The 15,728-nt window shown below is 41.8% G+C and overlaps 1 protein-coding gene and 1 long non-coding RNA gene across 3 annotated transcripts in view; one reads left to right on the top strand and one right to left on the bottom strand.

The window, feature by feature from the left end:
• Positions 1-15,728, bottom strand: part of MAPRE3 (microtubule associated protein RP/EB family member 3) — a 56,583-nt gene that overhangs the window by 17,267 nt on the left and 23,588 nt on the right. The gene's annotated exons all lie outside the window — the stretch shown is intronic.
• MAPRE3-AS1 (MAPRE3 antisense RNA 1) overlaps positions 1-15,728 on the top strand; it is a 29,817-nt gene that overhangs the window by 4,636 nt on the left and 9,453 nt on the right. Inside the window, exons 2-3 of the long non-coding RNA NR_149018.1 lie at positions 13,033-13,081; positions 14,399-14,477. This is a non-coding gene — a long non-coding RNA (MAPRE3 antisense RNA 1). The remainder of the gene's footprint in view (positions 1-13,032; positions 13,082-14,398; positions 14,478-15,728) is intronic.

Genomic DNA, 15,728 nt, shown 5'->3' with positions numbered 1-15,728 from the left:
AAATTAATGAACTTAGGTGAGAGCTGGACAACTGAACGAAATAACCAAAGGGCAACACATCATGCTCCAACTCCAGATACAGGAGCTGCTGGAGCAACTCTGCTTCCTGCATCAGGGAAAGCTTTGTAAAGGAAACATGGTTTGAACTGGGTCTTGAAGGAGAAACTCATCAGGCAGGTAAGAGTTAAGAGGAAAGGGGAATGCATGGGGAGGAAGGAAAGGACTGCAAGTAGCTCATCCCAGAGTCATGCTGGGGCAGAAGGTGATGTGGCTAAAAAGGCAGACGAAAGCCACATCACCAGTAGCTCTGTATGCCATTGTTAAGGAGTTATTTTATCTAGAAGGGAAACTCTCCAGAGGATTTTCTTTTCAGGTACACAGTATTTTAGTCAACAATACAAAATATTGCTAATACTATAGTTAAAATAATTTCCAAATCAAAATTACAACAAATGAAATTACAGTGCTTAGAAACTGCATTCAATTTATAATTCTGCAGAGGATTTTATATTATCTTTTCTAGTAAAAGCTGAAGAGATTCCCAAGAGAGTCCCTCCAATTTTCTGTAAACTTTTGTACTTTGAAATGATTTTAGACTCACAGTTGCAAAACAGAACAAATAATTCTCATGTATTTCATGTCTACTCATCCAGCTTCCCCCAGTAACATCTTACATAACAATTATTAAAACCAGGAAATCCACATTGGCACATTTGTAAGTAAACTACAGACCTTATTTGGATTTCATCAGTTTTTACATGCACTCTTTTTTTTGGCATATACTCCATGAAATTTTATCACATGGATGGATTCATGGAATCACCACCCTACCAGAATACAGACCTGTTCTATAATCTCAAAGAAACTCCTTCATGCTACCCCTTTATAGCTGTGCCCTCCCCCCCAACCCTATCCCCTGGCCACCACAGACCTGTTCCCCATTACTCTATAATTTTGTCATTTTGTCAACGTTATATACATGAAATCATCCAGTAACCTTTTGAGACTGGCTTTTTTTCTTCTCAGCATAGCGCCTTTAACTTCCATCCAAGTTGTTGCACGGATTAATGGTTCCTCTTTATTGCTGAGTAGTATTCCAAACAATGGCACACGTATGGATGTACCACAGTCTACTCATTCACCCACTGAGGATGTCAGGGTTGTCTCCAGTTTTGGGTGATTACAAATACACCCTATGAGAACTTTCCTCAGTCTTCTCTTGCTTTGTCCATGGAAGTCTGGCTCTGGGAGAGTTCTCCTCTCCAAACCTTTCTGTCCTCTAGGAACTGTTAATCTGCTTGGAGTTTGTAGTTGGAAGGCCCAGGCATTTGCTTAGGGCAGGAGGAGTTAAACCTGAGTTACTCTGGACTGACTGTTCCTAGAATTATGGCTTTGTCTCAGTTTAATCCTAAACCTGTACTCCTGCTTCATAAGATTCCTGCTTCTTTTTCCCTCCAAAAAATCCAAATTCAGATTTTTTCTTCTTTTTAAAATAAATTTCATAACTTTAATTTTTAATTATTTATTTTTGAGATGAAGTCTCACTATGTTGCCCAGTCTGGTCTTGAACTTCTAGGCTCAAGCGATCCTCCTCCTCAGCCTTCCAAGTAGCCGGGATTACAGGCATGCGCCACTGTGCCCAGCCCAGAAGACTCTCGCTTCTTAAATGCATTTACGCTATCACTAAAATTTGTGGCCTTATTTTTCCAGATGCCATAATTTCACCAAGGATAATTTAGAATTACAGTCACTAGTCAAGGAAGCTTTGATGAACAAAATTGTTTGAGAGGCACTTTAGAACAGAAAGAGGACAAAGTTTCAAACATCCAATTGTCTGTAGGATTATTGGGGCTGAATCCATAAAGATTCAGAAACATCCATCTAAATTTCTACCCAAACTTGCACAATACCCTCTAAACCAGAGCTAAAGAAGGACTGAGATAGTCAAAAGCATGATAGAGAAAGGACTCATCATATTTTAAACAAGTCCTCGTAACATCCCTACCCTCCCAGTCAAAAAACTCAATAGGTGGGGATAGACATCTGCTCAGGACCTTGAGGTCATAAATAGAATAGTCATTCTCTGAGTAGAATCAAATACTTCTTTATCTCCAGCGCTTCCTGAAGCTGCATATTTTACAGTTGTAGATATGTATTTTACTTTTTTTAGTATTCCTTTAGATCAAAATAGGCAATATTTGTTTGCCTTCTCCTGGGAACATTAACAGTATACTTGGACTGTGATGCCCCAAAGATTAACAGGGGCCCCCTCTGTACTTTTCACAAGTCCTGAATGACAACCTCAAGGACCTTAAATATCTGTTATTCTACTGTTGTTTGACATGTGGATGACCTTTTGCTGTGTTCTAAAGATAAGCTCCAAGACTGTTCCAGCTATCTACTGTTTTCTTTCAGAAAGGGCATAAGGTTTTCAAAGGGAAACTAAAATATTGTCAAAATAAAGTTCGTTATGCAGAACATAATTTATCCCAGGGCAGTAAATCCTTTACTTCTGACAGACCACAGGCCATTCAAAACTTTCCCAATTACTTCTAAGACACAATTAAGAAGAATCCGGGCTAATGAGGATAGCAGGTTTACAACTTTTCTAAAATAATCACAGGATAACTTAACCAAGTCCAAACTTCTTCCTTGGGATTCTAAACACGAAAAGGCCTTTTGTGAGTTAAATTAGCCCTTCAACAACCTGCCAATCTGGGCTCACCTAATTAGCATAAACCTTTCTACCTATTTGTACATGCAAGATATAGACGAACCTTTGGTGTTATGACTCAACTTCAAGGTAAAGGAAAACCAGAATATGTCACCCCAAAATATGCCTATTTGACTTATTTTTGAGCTAAAAGTAATTAAAGAGCAGCAAATAGAGGATGAGCTCTATTCTCCTGCTTTTCTGCCTAAAGACAGGATATAAATTCTTCTTTACTGGAGATAGTTCTTATCAGCCCAGACACAGCACCAGAGGAATCTGTAAACAAACCTTACACCATTGGTTTCTTCCCATGTATCTAACTTCCCACAGTTTCCCCCTTTTGGAAGCCTAAAATTGCTTTCTTCTGTCCTGTTATTTCTCTACAAATGTATTGTTCTTTTCTGAAGATGGCATATAAGCCAGAGTTTGACGCCACTGCCTTGAAGTTGCCTTTCATTGGGGTTTCTCCTGCATTCTGTGCCCTCCACACATTAATAAACTTGCTTGGCCAGGCATGGTGGCTCATGCCTATAATCTCAGTGGTTTGGGAGTCTGGGGCGGGAGGACTGCTTGAGGTCAGGAGTTCAAGACCAGCCTGGGCAACATAGCATGACCCCGTCTCTACAAAAAATTTTAAAAAAAATAGTGGGACGTGGTGGCACATGCCTGTAGTCCCAGCTACTTGGGAGGCTGAGGAGGAAGAATTGCTTGAGCCCAGGAGTTCAAGGCTTCAATGAGCTGTGATCATGCCACGGCACCCCAGCCTTAGTGACAGAGTGAGACCCTGTATCTGAAGAGAAAAACAAAATAAAAAAACTTTGCTTGTTTTTCTTTTGCTGATCTGTCTTTTGTTACAGGGGTCTGTCCCAACTATGAACTTATGAAGGTTAAGAAGAAATTACATTTCCTCCCCAATAATGGGAATTATCAGACATCAATAGTCTACTAAGTCTCTCTTCACCCAATGGCAAAGCCTACTTGTCTAATAGCCACAGCAGCTAAGCTAATGGCTTCCACACACTTGTTTTTTTTTTGTTTTTGTTTTTGTTTTTATTTTTGAGACGGGGTCTCGCTCTGTCACCCAGGCTAGAGTGCAGTGGTGCAATCTTGGCTCAGTGCCAGCTACGCCTCCCGGGTTCACGCCATTCTCCTGCCTCAGCCTCCCGAGTAGCTGGGACTACAGGCGCCCGCCACTGTGCCCGGCTAATTTTTTGTATTTTTAGTAGAGACGGGGTTTCACCGTGTTAGCAAGGATGATCTCGATCTCCTGACCTCGTGATCCGCCCACCTCGGCCTCCCAAAGTGCTGGGATTACAGGCGTGAGCCACCGCGCCCGGCCGACACACTCTTGGTTTTAAGGTCTCTTTTAAATTTGATGGTCCTCCATGCTGTACAATATTTGTTGCTCACTGAAAATATACAACAATTCTCAGCAAGTAGGGTTGCCACCAATGAAATCCCATTACTTTCTCCCTCACCTATTTCTATTCATTATAATAATACTTTGACTCCTGCCACTCTCCCTTTGGATGTCATGTTCTCAATGAGGCCATTTGGCCCATTGATTCTGCCCTAGGAGGAAGAGTTAGATAATTAATTCAAGGAAAAGGAAAACTGTGCCTTAATTTAGGAACCAAAACCCTAACCACTCAAGGGAGTTCAGTGTTGCTTTCTTTCCTCCTCGAGCCTTTGCAGTTCATGCTTTGCAGAAGGCCTGGAAAGTAGGGAGAATCTTACAAAATGTGGGACTGAGGATTTGCTGCAGAGCACTATGAGATGTGAGAGAGGTCAAAGATGACCCCAAAGTTTCTTGCCCAAGCCACTGGAAGGATGGAGAAAACTGCAGGAAGAGCAGGTTTGAGAGTGCAGTGAAGACCACGAGCTCACTTAAGATTATGCTGTGGACACTTCAAAGAATAATTAAGGATATTAGGAAGCATCATCTTCCATGGGGCATAATATTCCATGCTATCCTTACATTAGCTTTAGTTGCTGGGCATTTTGATTTTTGATAGTCCTGGAATTAATATATTTGAACATTCAATTTTTGTCTAAATCTGTGACTACTTCCTTGGGCAGGGAATTACTGGGTCAAAGGGCATGATATATTTTTTAAGGACTAACAGCTTCCATAAAGGCTGTACCTTTCATTTTTTCCCCAGAAGTTTATGAGTGCTCATTTCAACACCAACATTGTTATTATTTTAAAAAGTGTGTTGATTGAAAGAGAAGTATTTTTTTATCTTTAAAATAATGTTTCTTTGATTACTAGTGAGGGAGAACATATTTCTATGTTTATTACCCATATATATTTACTCTTCTGTGAACTGTTTTGGGCTGTCGAGTTTGAGAACCCACAAGTCATCTGTGTGCTCATGTCTAACAAACATCCGGAAATCCTGCTGAGGAATTCTCACCATTCATGCCTTCTACTAAAGATCTAGTATCCTGGGATAAATCTGTACTGATCCCAGACATATCCATGGCATTTACTTTTTTTTTTTTTTTTTTACTAGATCCTTGATATTCTAGTAATTTGCTCTAAACATGAGATACTAGAAAATATCCTTATCAGAAGGTTTTAGCCTAGGCAACATAGTGAGACCCTATCTTTACAAAAATAGAAATTAGCTGGGCATGGTGGCGCATGCCTGTAACTCAGGAGTGCTGTTGCCATACTCCAGCTATCATGAAATGTATTTCGACGTGGAAAAAGTGGGAGTTTGGTAACAATGGGAAAAATTCACATCACCAGAGAACCAAAACAAAGCTAGACATTATCCAAGCTACTCTCTTATCATATTTTTGCCTAGAAAATGAGGGGGAGGAGGAAGGGGCTAAGAAGTGGAAAATGACTTAGGCTTTCCCAAGTTTTCTGCTAAAGATAGGGGAAATAGAGAATTCAGAAAGTAAACTTTAATTGCACTACCTAAATAGTAGCCCTGTGGTGTATTTCCTAAGAAATAAACAGGCACATTGAGCTATGTGGACGGGCAGCATGGTGCATGAAAAAGGTGGTGAAAAGGACTCCACAGCACCCAACTCCAGCTCTGCCTCTCACGACCTCCCAGGCATGAGAGATCCTCTGGGCAAAGGCGGCCTCTCTTTGCCTGAGTTTCTTACAGTAAAATAGAAGCGCTTTTTGGACATCATTATGTGTATGGCTCGTGGGCACAGAGCCTCTTGACAGATGACTCATGGAAGGGGAAGTGTAAATGGCCAACAAACATGTGAAACATGCTCAACATTACTAATAATTCTAAAATACCTATGCTGCCGGACTGTTGTGAAGGTTCAAGCTAACTCAAGTGGAGCATCCGCACAGAACCTCACACGTGTCAATTCAGTGAGTGACGGTTATAGGTCAGAGGTTGTTAATGGAATTTTGACAGCCGGGGAGTTTTAAATAATCTTTGACATGGGGCCGGTAACAATGAAATTAGGTAAGGAGAAGGGGATGGGGACTGTGATATTGTTAAATAAGTAAGTTGTGTGAGGGACTGATTTTGTGGATGCCATACTGAGCAGCACCCTCTCATGGGGAAAGTGAGGGATCTGGGTAGAAGCCGTGAGCTGGAAGTTTGACAGTAGTGACTGGTCAGGTATCACCTTCCCAGCATTAGCTGGATCGATAACAGATGCTTCATAAATTGTAGTTTCCCTTTCCAAGTGGTGATGGTAACTGACAGAGAAGCGTAAAGCCATGGCTATGAGAAAAGCTCGTAGACAGCTGATTCCCTAAGATGGTGCTTCTCTCTTGAGGGTGTCACCTCTCAAGAGATCAGGGTAAGGTCCTGAAGGGAGCATTGAAATAGAGTCCTTATCATTTCCCTCCTGGAATCAGAATTCTGATTTTTTTTTCTGATTTTAGAGGGGTAGTGATGTGGTCTGGGGCTTTGGCCTGTGTTCTGCATTCAGCCTGTCTTGCTCATTTGGATTCATTGCTCATTTGTTTACTCGTGACTATCTGCCTACACTCATGAATATTGAAACACCACTGTGTGCATATAGAGAATCTGGCCAGAAGATTGCAGTTCAGGGACTCCTTCTGTCTCACCCATGGCTGACTCCTCACTGGATGAGAAGGGCCGTACGTAGTGGCTAACTGCTCACCAGTTAGTAATTACTTCATAGAGTGTTGATGCATAGGGATCACTCACTCTTTTGGCCACCTCCTCAGGAAACTGTAGTACGTCTCAAAAGCAGCTTAATAGATTAAAATGTCCCCAGAATCTACTGACACCATCTTCTCAGCCTTCTCTGTTACAGATGATGACACAGACCTGTAAGGCCATTATACCTGAGGTAGGCCAGTAAGAGCAACGAGTGAGGATGTGGGGTGCACTGTATCGAAAGAGGCCAGTTCCCAGGTGCATCTCAATCTAAGACAAGCCAGGATGGCCTTGAATTAGGACTCAGGTGGGACAAATGATGACTTCACAGTGGCAGAAAGGACTTTCAAAACAAGAATAGATGAGCGAGGTGCATGCTCACAAGAAACATCATGGGTCCTCTGCAGTGCCCATCAGCACAAGGGCCCCACCAGCCTGCCTGGACATACAGGACAGCCTGCAGACCCACACCCCCAGGTGCAACACAGAAGGGTGCAACTGCTCTGGGTTCCAAGATGGGCAGTTCAGAGTCTGGTCAGGGCTAATACAAAGTTAAACCCACACTAATGGGCATGGTATAACAGCTTAATGACAGAACAAAAAACCTGGTTTTGAGGGTACAGGGAAATGGGTTCTTTTAAACATGATTGGTGAGAATATAGTTTAGTACAGCCATTTTGGAGAGCAGTTTGGTTAAAAAAAAAAAAAGATTAAAAGCCTTTAGATTTTATATACTCTTTGACCTTAATTCCACTTCTAGGAATTTTATACTGAATCACTAATTATAGATATGTGTAAAACTTTAGATATTAGCATGTTTACAATAATGAAAAACTGGAAACCACCGAAATGTCCAACAATGAATTGTTAAATAAATTGTGACACATCCAAACAATGCCACTCTGAAAAGAGGGATGTTCTAGAATATGTAATGATGCTGGCACTGCTGGCTGGGTGACTCAGCTCCCATCCCAACACCCTTCTTCCTTACCTGTCTCCAATAGAGAGGCCAGTAACACAAAATGCCTGCTTTCTCAGCCTCCCTGAGAGTTAAGAGCCACCTTGAGACCGTAAAGCAACACAGCCGCCTAAGACAGCAGGAGTGTCCTTGGCAACGTCCTTGAGCTGTTCCACTAGCCTAGACCTCCTACTTTCAGACTCCTGCCTCACGAGCAAAATACCCCATTATTTGTTCAAGCCACTGTTGACAGGGTTTGCTGTTACTTGTTTCAAAACACAATCCCAATTGATAAAACACATGGAAAGATGTTTACAGTCCATGAAGCCGGGGGAAAACACAGTCACGCACCGCATCACAATGTTTACATCAACAACAGACTGCATGTACGACAGTGGTTCCATAAGATTATGCTGTATTTTTACTGTACCCTTTCTGTTTAATGTATGTATGTATACATGTATGTACGTATGTGTGTATATATGCATTTATTTATTTATGAGTGAATGAATGAATTAATGAAGGGGTCTTGATTTGTTTCCTAGGCTGGAGTGCAGTGGTGCAATCATAGTTCACCGTACCCTTTCTATGTTTAGATCTACGTACCTATCTATCAATTATATGCCTATCTATCAGTTATCTATCTATCTATCTATCTATGAATGATGGGATCTCACTCTGTCTCACCCACACTGGAGTTCAGTGGTACAATCATGGCTCACTGCTGTCTCTAACTCCTGGACTCAAGTGATCCTGCCGCCTCAACCTCCTAAAGTGCTGGGATTACAGGCATGAGCCACCATACCCAGACCATATATTTAGATACCCAAATACTAACCATTATGTTCCAATTGCCTACAGTATCCAGTGCAGTCACATGCTGTACAAGTTTGTAGCCTAGGAGCAATAGGCTATGCCATACAGTCTAGGTATGTAGTAGGCAATACCATCTAGGTTTGGGTGAGTACACTCTATGATGTTTGCACAATGGCAAAATCACAAGACACATTTCTCGGAATGTATCCCATCATTAAGCAATGTATGATTGTATTACAGAACAAAAATATACCAACAGTTGTTGAAGAAAAATGTGAAGTATATTCTAAAATTATAATTGTGGTTCTGTCTGATGGTACGGTTATATGGGATTTTATTTTCATATTTGGGTTTATCTGAATTTTCAAAATTTTCTACAGCGAATATGTCTTACTTTCGTGATGAGAAAAAAATATTAAAAAATAAAACAAGGTAGATAAATAATTGGATAAATCTTGTGGTCAGGCAGCAATGAGTCCTTGACAATAGTTGCCAAGATAACTACTTTAAGGCTTCTGTTGCTTTCTGTCCAGGAGGTTCAGACTTCCCAGCTGGAGCCCTGGTTTTACAAGGTCCCACTGGCTTCTAACTAGGGCCACTGAGGTCCACCTTCACCAGCGGACACCGGCAGCTGCACCGGCCTAGGAGGCCAGAGGGGCTCTGAGCTCTTTGTGGTGCAGCTCCTTCTCCTGGTCATGGGCCTTGCTTCCCTCCTCCTCCTCCTGTCTCTCATCTCTTGCCTTCTTGGCAGAATCAAATGAAATAACCAATCTGAAAGTACTTCATACATTATTAGGTGTAAAAAATGGCAAGTTATTTTCCTTGTAACTCTTTCTTCTTCATTCTTTTCCCTCCTTGTTTTTAAGTCTTTCACTTTTCTCCTTTCTCTTCTACCCTTGTTCCTCTTTCCACTTCCCTCCTCCCTCCTCATCGGGTCATAATGGAGAACATTCTGGGCCTCCACAGCCTCATACCTCTGTCATTTCTCACAGGAGCCTGCCTTGTACTTATCTGTCCACGGGTCTCTCTCCTTTGCTCCGCGGTGAGTCCTCTGAGCAGAAACCATGTCTTTCAACCCCTAAGAACCTTTTCATGACACTGTCTCACAGTACTCACCTGGTCAGTACTTACTTGATATTACTAAAATTTCTTTTATTGTTTTGTTATCTAGGGAGAGCATAATAGTAACACAAACCCGTACATTTATTTGTAAAATCAGCCATCCATATATTTAAGTGGAAATTTGTTATTAGCATCTTAAAAATTTTTGTGAAGTCATTTTTTAAGAACCAACAACTGAGAATTGGTAGAAAGATAAGTAGTTTGAAAACAATATTTTTTCTTCCTTACTGCAGTTGTAAAATATTGAGAACTATATTCAGAATTGAAATGGAAACCTTAATAATGATAATGTGGAAAAAATGAAATGTTTTATGGTAAAATATTAGAACTAATTTGTATTTCAAATTTGTATTATCCACTAAAATGGTTAAAAAAATCTGCCAAAAAAAAATCTATGAGATGTCAGTCACATTAAAAGTGCATGTAGTTGGGCTGGGCACAGTAGCTCACGCCTGTAATCCCAGCACTTTGGGAGGCCAAGGCAGGTGGAACATCTGAGGTCAGGAGTTCGAGACCAGCCTGACCAACATGGAGAAACCCGTCTCTACTAAAAATACAAAATTAGCTGGGTGTGGTGGCACATGCCTGTAATCCCAGCTACTCAGGAGGCTGAGGCAGGAGAATCGCTTGAACCCAGGAGGAGGAGGTTGCAGTGAGCCGAGATCACACCACTGCACTGCACTCCAGCCTGGGTGACAACAGCGAAACTCCATCCCAAAAAAAAAAAAAAAAAAAAAAAAAAAGAAAGAAGGAAAGAAAGAAGAAAAAAGTGCATGTAGTTGGACCCTAATCCTGCCTCTCTTGCTTTGGCCAACTTGTCATCAAGTCATTGATTTTTCTCATTCATCTTGTCCCTTCCATTCTCACTGACATCATCCTTGTCCAGGTTGTTGCCATTTTGTGACTGGATAGTATTCCTGCCTCTGGTCCCTATTCTTTCAACTTTTCCTGCTACTCATTGCAAGACAAACTTTCCAAAAACACTGCTTTAGTTACCCCCTTCCCCTAAGCACCAATGGCTCTCTATATCTCTATTCTGTAGGATCAAGACCAAACATCTGTAGGATCAATTCCACTTCCTTCTTCCCCAAACCCTTTCTCTGATGTCTCCAACCCCAAGCCCCTCACTTCAGTCAGACTGTTGTTCTTCCTCCTGCCAGTCTCCCTAATACTGAATCCCTCCCCGCCTTGGCTTGTACTGGAATGCTCTCCTCCTTTCAAGGCCAAGCTCATGTCCCACCATTTCTGTGAGCACTAGCTGACAGAATCAGGATTCCAAAGTGCTGTGACAGGCTATAGGAAGAAGCTAAACCACTCCAAATAAACACATACTAGGTTCTGCATTTGTATCTTAAAAAACAAATGGAAGATATTTGGCAGAAGATATAAGGTTTGCAAAACTGTGTGCAAAAGACATAAGGATTTTACACTGGCATGTACTCTCTCCAGTGTCAACTCCCCTGGAAAGTTTTTCCTGACTCCCAGCCTGTTCCTCTGGGCTGGGTTAGCCTAGCCTTCTGGGTACTTCTGTAATACTGTGTGGAGATACTTCTAACACAGAAGTATGTCTATTTCTTCCACGTCACTAGGAGCTTCCCCAGGGCTGGGATTTTTTTCAGCCCTATTGTATGGCATGGTGTCCAGCACATAGAATGTTCTCAGATATTAGCAGAACTGAACTGAGGCTCAGAGAGCTTAGGTAACATGCTCAAGGTAACACAGCCAGTGAGAACAGAACTGATTTGAAACTAGATATCTGGTTATAAAGTCCTTCTTCTAGAATGAGGAAAGTGATAATATTCCTCCCCTCTGGGCTTGTCAGATGACACCTGTAATACTGACTTCAGTTCTGTGCAGCAAACTTTTAGAATAACATTCACAAGCAGGCCTGTTTAAAGAGAAAGACCATGACAGTGAGTGGAGTGGATATGCTCCAATCTCGGTCAGCCAAGGACCTGGTGGAGAAACTAAGGGGTTAGCTTAGAGACAGAAGAAAAACTCAGCATGACATGAGAACTGCCTTTAATGACTTAAGGGCCCAGAGGAAGAATAGGGATTACACTTATTTTCTGTGACCACAGCGTTTGTAAAACTGTGACCAAAGTGTTGAAGATACAGAAAAACAGATGTTGACCCACTGAAGACAAACATTCCCAGTACTGCTTCAGTTAAAGCAGTTAACTGACAGCTTTAACATGGTTAAAGGCAGCATGTCTACCCCAGGAAAGGGTGAGGTCCCACCATGGCAGGTCTTCAAGCTGATGACACCCTGTGGGCATGCCCTATCGGGGTCAAGAACCAGACTGAAGGCTGGACTAGCTGAGATTTTATGTTTAGATGACTTCTTAAGGTCCCTTCTAATAGATGCAACAATTCTATTATTCTGTCTTCGTTGACCTCTCTAGCCTTCAGCAATTCCTTACTCCTCTACATTTAGTGAATATTGAGTTTACATAATTCACTTGAGGATTAAGCATATATGTACCCTGCTACACAACATTTAAGTTACCAAACTATCCTTTCTACCAGGGATTACCAAACTATCCTTTCTACCAGGGATTCCCAACCCCCAGGCTGTGGACTAGTACGGGTCCGTGGAATGTTAGGAACCAGGCTGCACAGCAACAGCGAGCATTCCCGCCTGAGCTCCACCTCCTGTCAGATCAGCGGCGGCACCAGATCCTCACAGAAGCGCAAACCCTATTGTGAACTGTGCATTTGAGGAATCTAGGCTGCGTGTTCTGTATGAGGATCTAACTCAGGGCTGTCCAATCTTTGGGCTTCCCTGGGTCACACGGGAAGAAGAATTGTCTTGGGCCACACATAACATACGCTAACACAAAGGACAGCTCATGAGCTAAAAAAAAAAATCACAAAAAAACTCCATGTTTTAAGAAAGTTTACAAATTTGTGTTGGGCCACATTCAAAGCTGTCCTGGGCTGCATGCGACCCATGGGCTGCGGATTGGACAAGCTTGATCTAAGTAATGCCTGATGATCTGAGGTGGAAATTTCATTCTGAAACCAACCCCCACCCTCTACCCCATCCATGGAAAAACTGTCTTCCACAAAACCTTGGTGCCAAAAAGGTTGGGGACTGCTAATTTCTACTATTGCCATTTAATTTTTTTTTCAAATATCTTCCCAAAAAGATAAGTGCCTTGAAGTCAGGGATCACATATCATGTATTTTACAACTTTGGTCTCCAGATATCTACACTAGTTCAAAATAGAATAAAAATATTTTAAATGCTTACTTCACAACTTGACTTTAATTTCTCTGCTAATGGGCTTGTCTTTTCTCTCTTGAAGATCCCCTGGAAAGTGAGAGCCGTTTCTTCACTAGATACTTTCCCTCCAGGTATTTTTCTGTTCCTCAGGTGAAGGGTTTATTTTTATTTATTTATTTATTTATCTATTTATTTTGGGATGGAGTCTCGCTCTGTCGCCCAGGTTGGAATGCAGAGGTGTGATCTTGGCCCACTGCAAGCTCCGCCTCCCAGGTTCACGCCATTCTCAGGTTCACGCCATTCTCCTGCCTCAGCCTCCCGAGTAGCTGGGACTACAGGCGCCCACCACGGCGCCCGGCTAATTTTTTGTATTTTTAGTAGAGACGGGGTTTCACTGTGGTCTCGATCTCCTGACCTCATGATCTGCCCGCCTCAGCCTCCCAAAGTGATGGGATTACAGGCTTAAACCACCGCGCCCGGCCCTGGTGAAGGGTTTAACAAGGAAACCTTGTATGGTTAGTCTCTGCTAGTTAAGAAAACTCCTGTTGGCTGGGTGTGATGGCTCACACCTGTAATCCCAGCACTTTGGGAGATGAGGCAGGAATATCGCTTGAGCCCAGGAATTCAAGACCAGTGTGGGCAACATAGTGAGGCCTTCATCTCTACTAAAAATAAAAAAGATTAGTGGGGCAAGGTGGTGCACACCTGTATTCCCAGTTATTCGGGAGGCTGAGTGGGGAGGATCAAGCTGGAGCCCGGGAGATCCAGGCTGCAGTGAGCTATGATCTCACCACTGTACTCCAGCCCGGGCAACAGAGTAAGACCTTGTTTCAAAAATAAATAAAATAAAATAAAATAAAATAAAATAAAATAAAATAAAATAAAATTCCTATCTTCTAATGTCTCATCTGTTTCTATGGGTACCCAAGAACAAACCCCAGAAGCAGGAGCTCCTCCTTTTGGACTCACACCAGGTTCCAAGATGGCCAAATAGATTGATGAGGATAACAAGGAATAGAGGCGATAGGCAGATATGAATGGGCCAAGCAAGCTGAAGACATACTTCCCTCTGCTATCTTTCCACTGTCTTCTGTGGCCGGAATATCAGTAGTCCCCAAACAGAAAAGGCCCATTAGTATCTTGTGGGGAGCTTTTCCAAAACACACACACATACACACACACACACACACACACACACACACACACACACACACACACACACCTCTCTTAGAAAGACCCTCAGGTATTTGAAAAAGTCCCCATTCTGATTTGGCCTCCAACCTACTTAAGAACTGTTCTTAACTTTTAACTCCATCATAAAGGAAAAGCTATCCCTTCCTCCTCCATTTATTTTTTCTTTTATTTATTTAGGCCAGTATAAACTCATAGATGATTATTTTATTCAAAGGGTTATAATACATTATTATCATTTATTTTGATGTTCATAGTGTCCCAGTATTGGTGGCCACAGTGGGAGCCCCTTACAGCTGGCTCTTGAGTCTTGTTGACACATCCCATCATTCTTTGGTAAGTTCCTTACTTTCTAGAAGAATAATTTGTTCCAGGATCAACTTGCAGTTTCCCTGCCTCGGTCTTGAAGCAAGGCATTTCTCTGAGGATTCTGAGTTCTTTTAGGGGAGAGTGGAAACTACTTTTGAAGATTTAAACAACCTATTAATATCTAGGACAAAATAGGACTGCAGCAAAACCAGGAAAGAATAGAGTCCCCTCTGTGATTATGACTAATAAGCAGGGGCTGGCAAATTATGAGCTAGAGCCTCCCTTTTGGTCAAGATGTTTTACTGGAACACAACCACACCCATTCATTTACCTAGTGTCTATAGCTGCTTTCACTTTACAACAGCAGAGTAGAGTAGTTTTGACTTGAGACAATATGGCCAGCAAAGCATACAATATTTACTATCTGGCCCTTACAAAAAATGTCTGCCATCTTGGGCAACATAGTGAGATTCCGTCTTGAGCAACAACAACAACAAAATTAGCTGGGCATGGTGGCTTGTGCCTGTAGTCCTAGGTACTCGGGAGGCTGAGGCAGGAAGATCACTTGAGCCCAAGAGTTCAAGGTTGCAGTGAGCCATGATCCTGCTGCTGCACTCCAGCCTGGGTGATAGACAGAGTAAGACATCACTCATTTCTTAAAAAAAAAAAAAAAAAAAAGAAGAAGAAGAAGAAGAAAGGAAAATGTCTGCCAATCCCTGCTAATGAGTTAATAAGTATCTACATGTTATAGACAGGATTACCTATCAGGAGAAATAGAGTGATTTGGAGATATTGTAAATAAAACTACAATGTCTTCCTAGATGTCACAGAGCAGGACTTACTTAAAATTTATCAGTGCAAAATAAGCTACAAACTTGGCAAACTGTAACGATGTCATGATGTAGAAGCTGATTGTAATGGCAATTATAAAAAGGGGATGGCTTATTATGGAATCTAGAGAAAAAGATAGTTAGAAAGGAAAACTATGTTAGTGCAACTGTAACACTGTCCAATGGACCACTCTGCTTAGCTGGAATTGGTATTCTGGTCACTAGGATGAATGATGTCTCCTCTGGTAGAGAGAGGAGAATTAATCAAGCTTGAACCATGGTGTGGATAACACATAATTTCTTAACTTCCAACTGTATTTGCTCTGATTTCATGCTTATAAATCAAGCTCTGATTACCTTTCTGATTTTCAAGCCACCATGATACAGGGAAGAAGTATATTTATTAAATTGACTTTCTGGTACAAATGTGCCTAAGCAAATAAATGTA

The sequence above is a fragment of the Homo sapiens genome, chromosome 2 (genome assembly GCF_000001405.40).
Source record: "Homo sapiens chromosome 2, GRCh38.p14 Primary Assembly".
Taxonomy (NCBI): Eukaryota; Metazoa; Chordata; class Mammalia; order Primates; family Hominidae; genus Homo; species Homo sapiens.
Note: the sequence above shows the minus strand (reverse complement) of the source record. Positions and strands in the feature narration are given on the sequence as shown.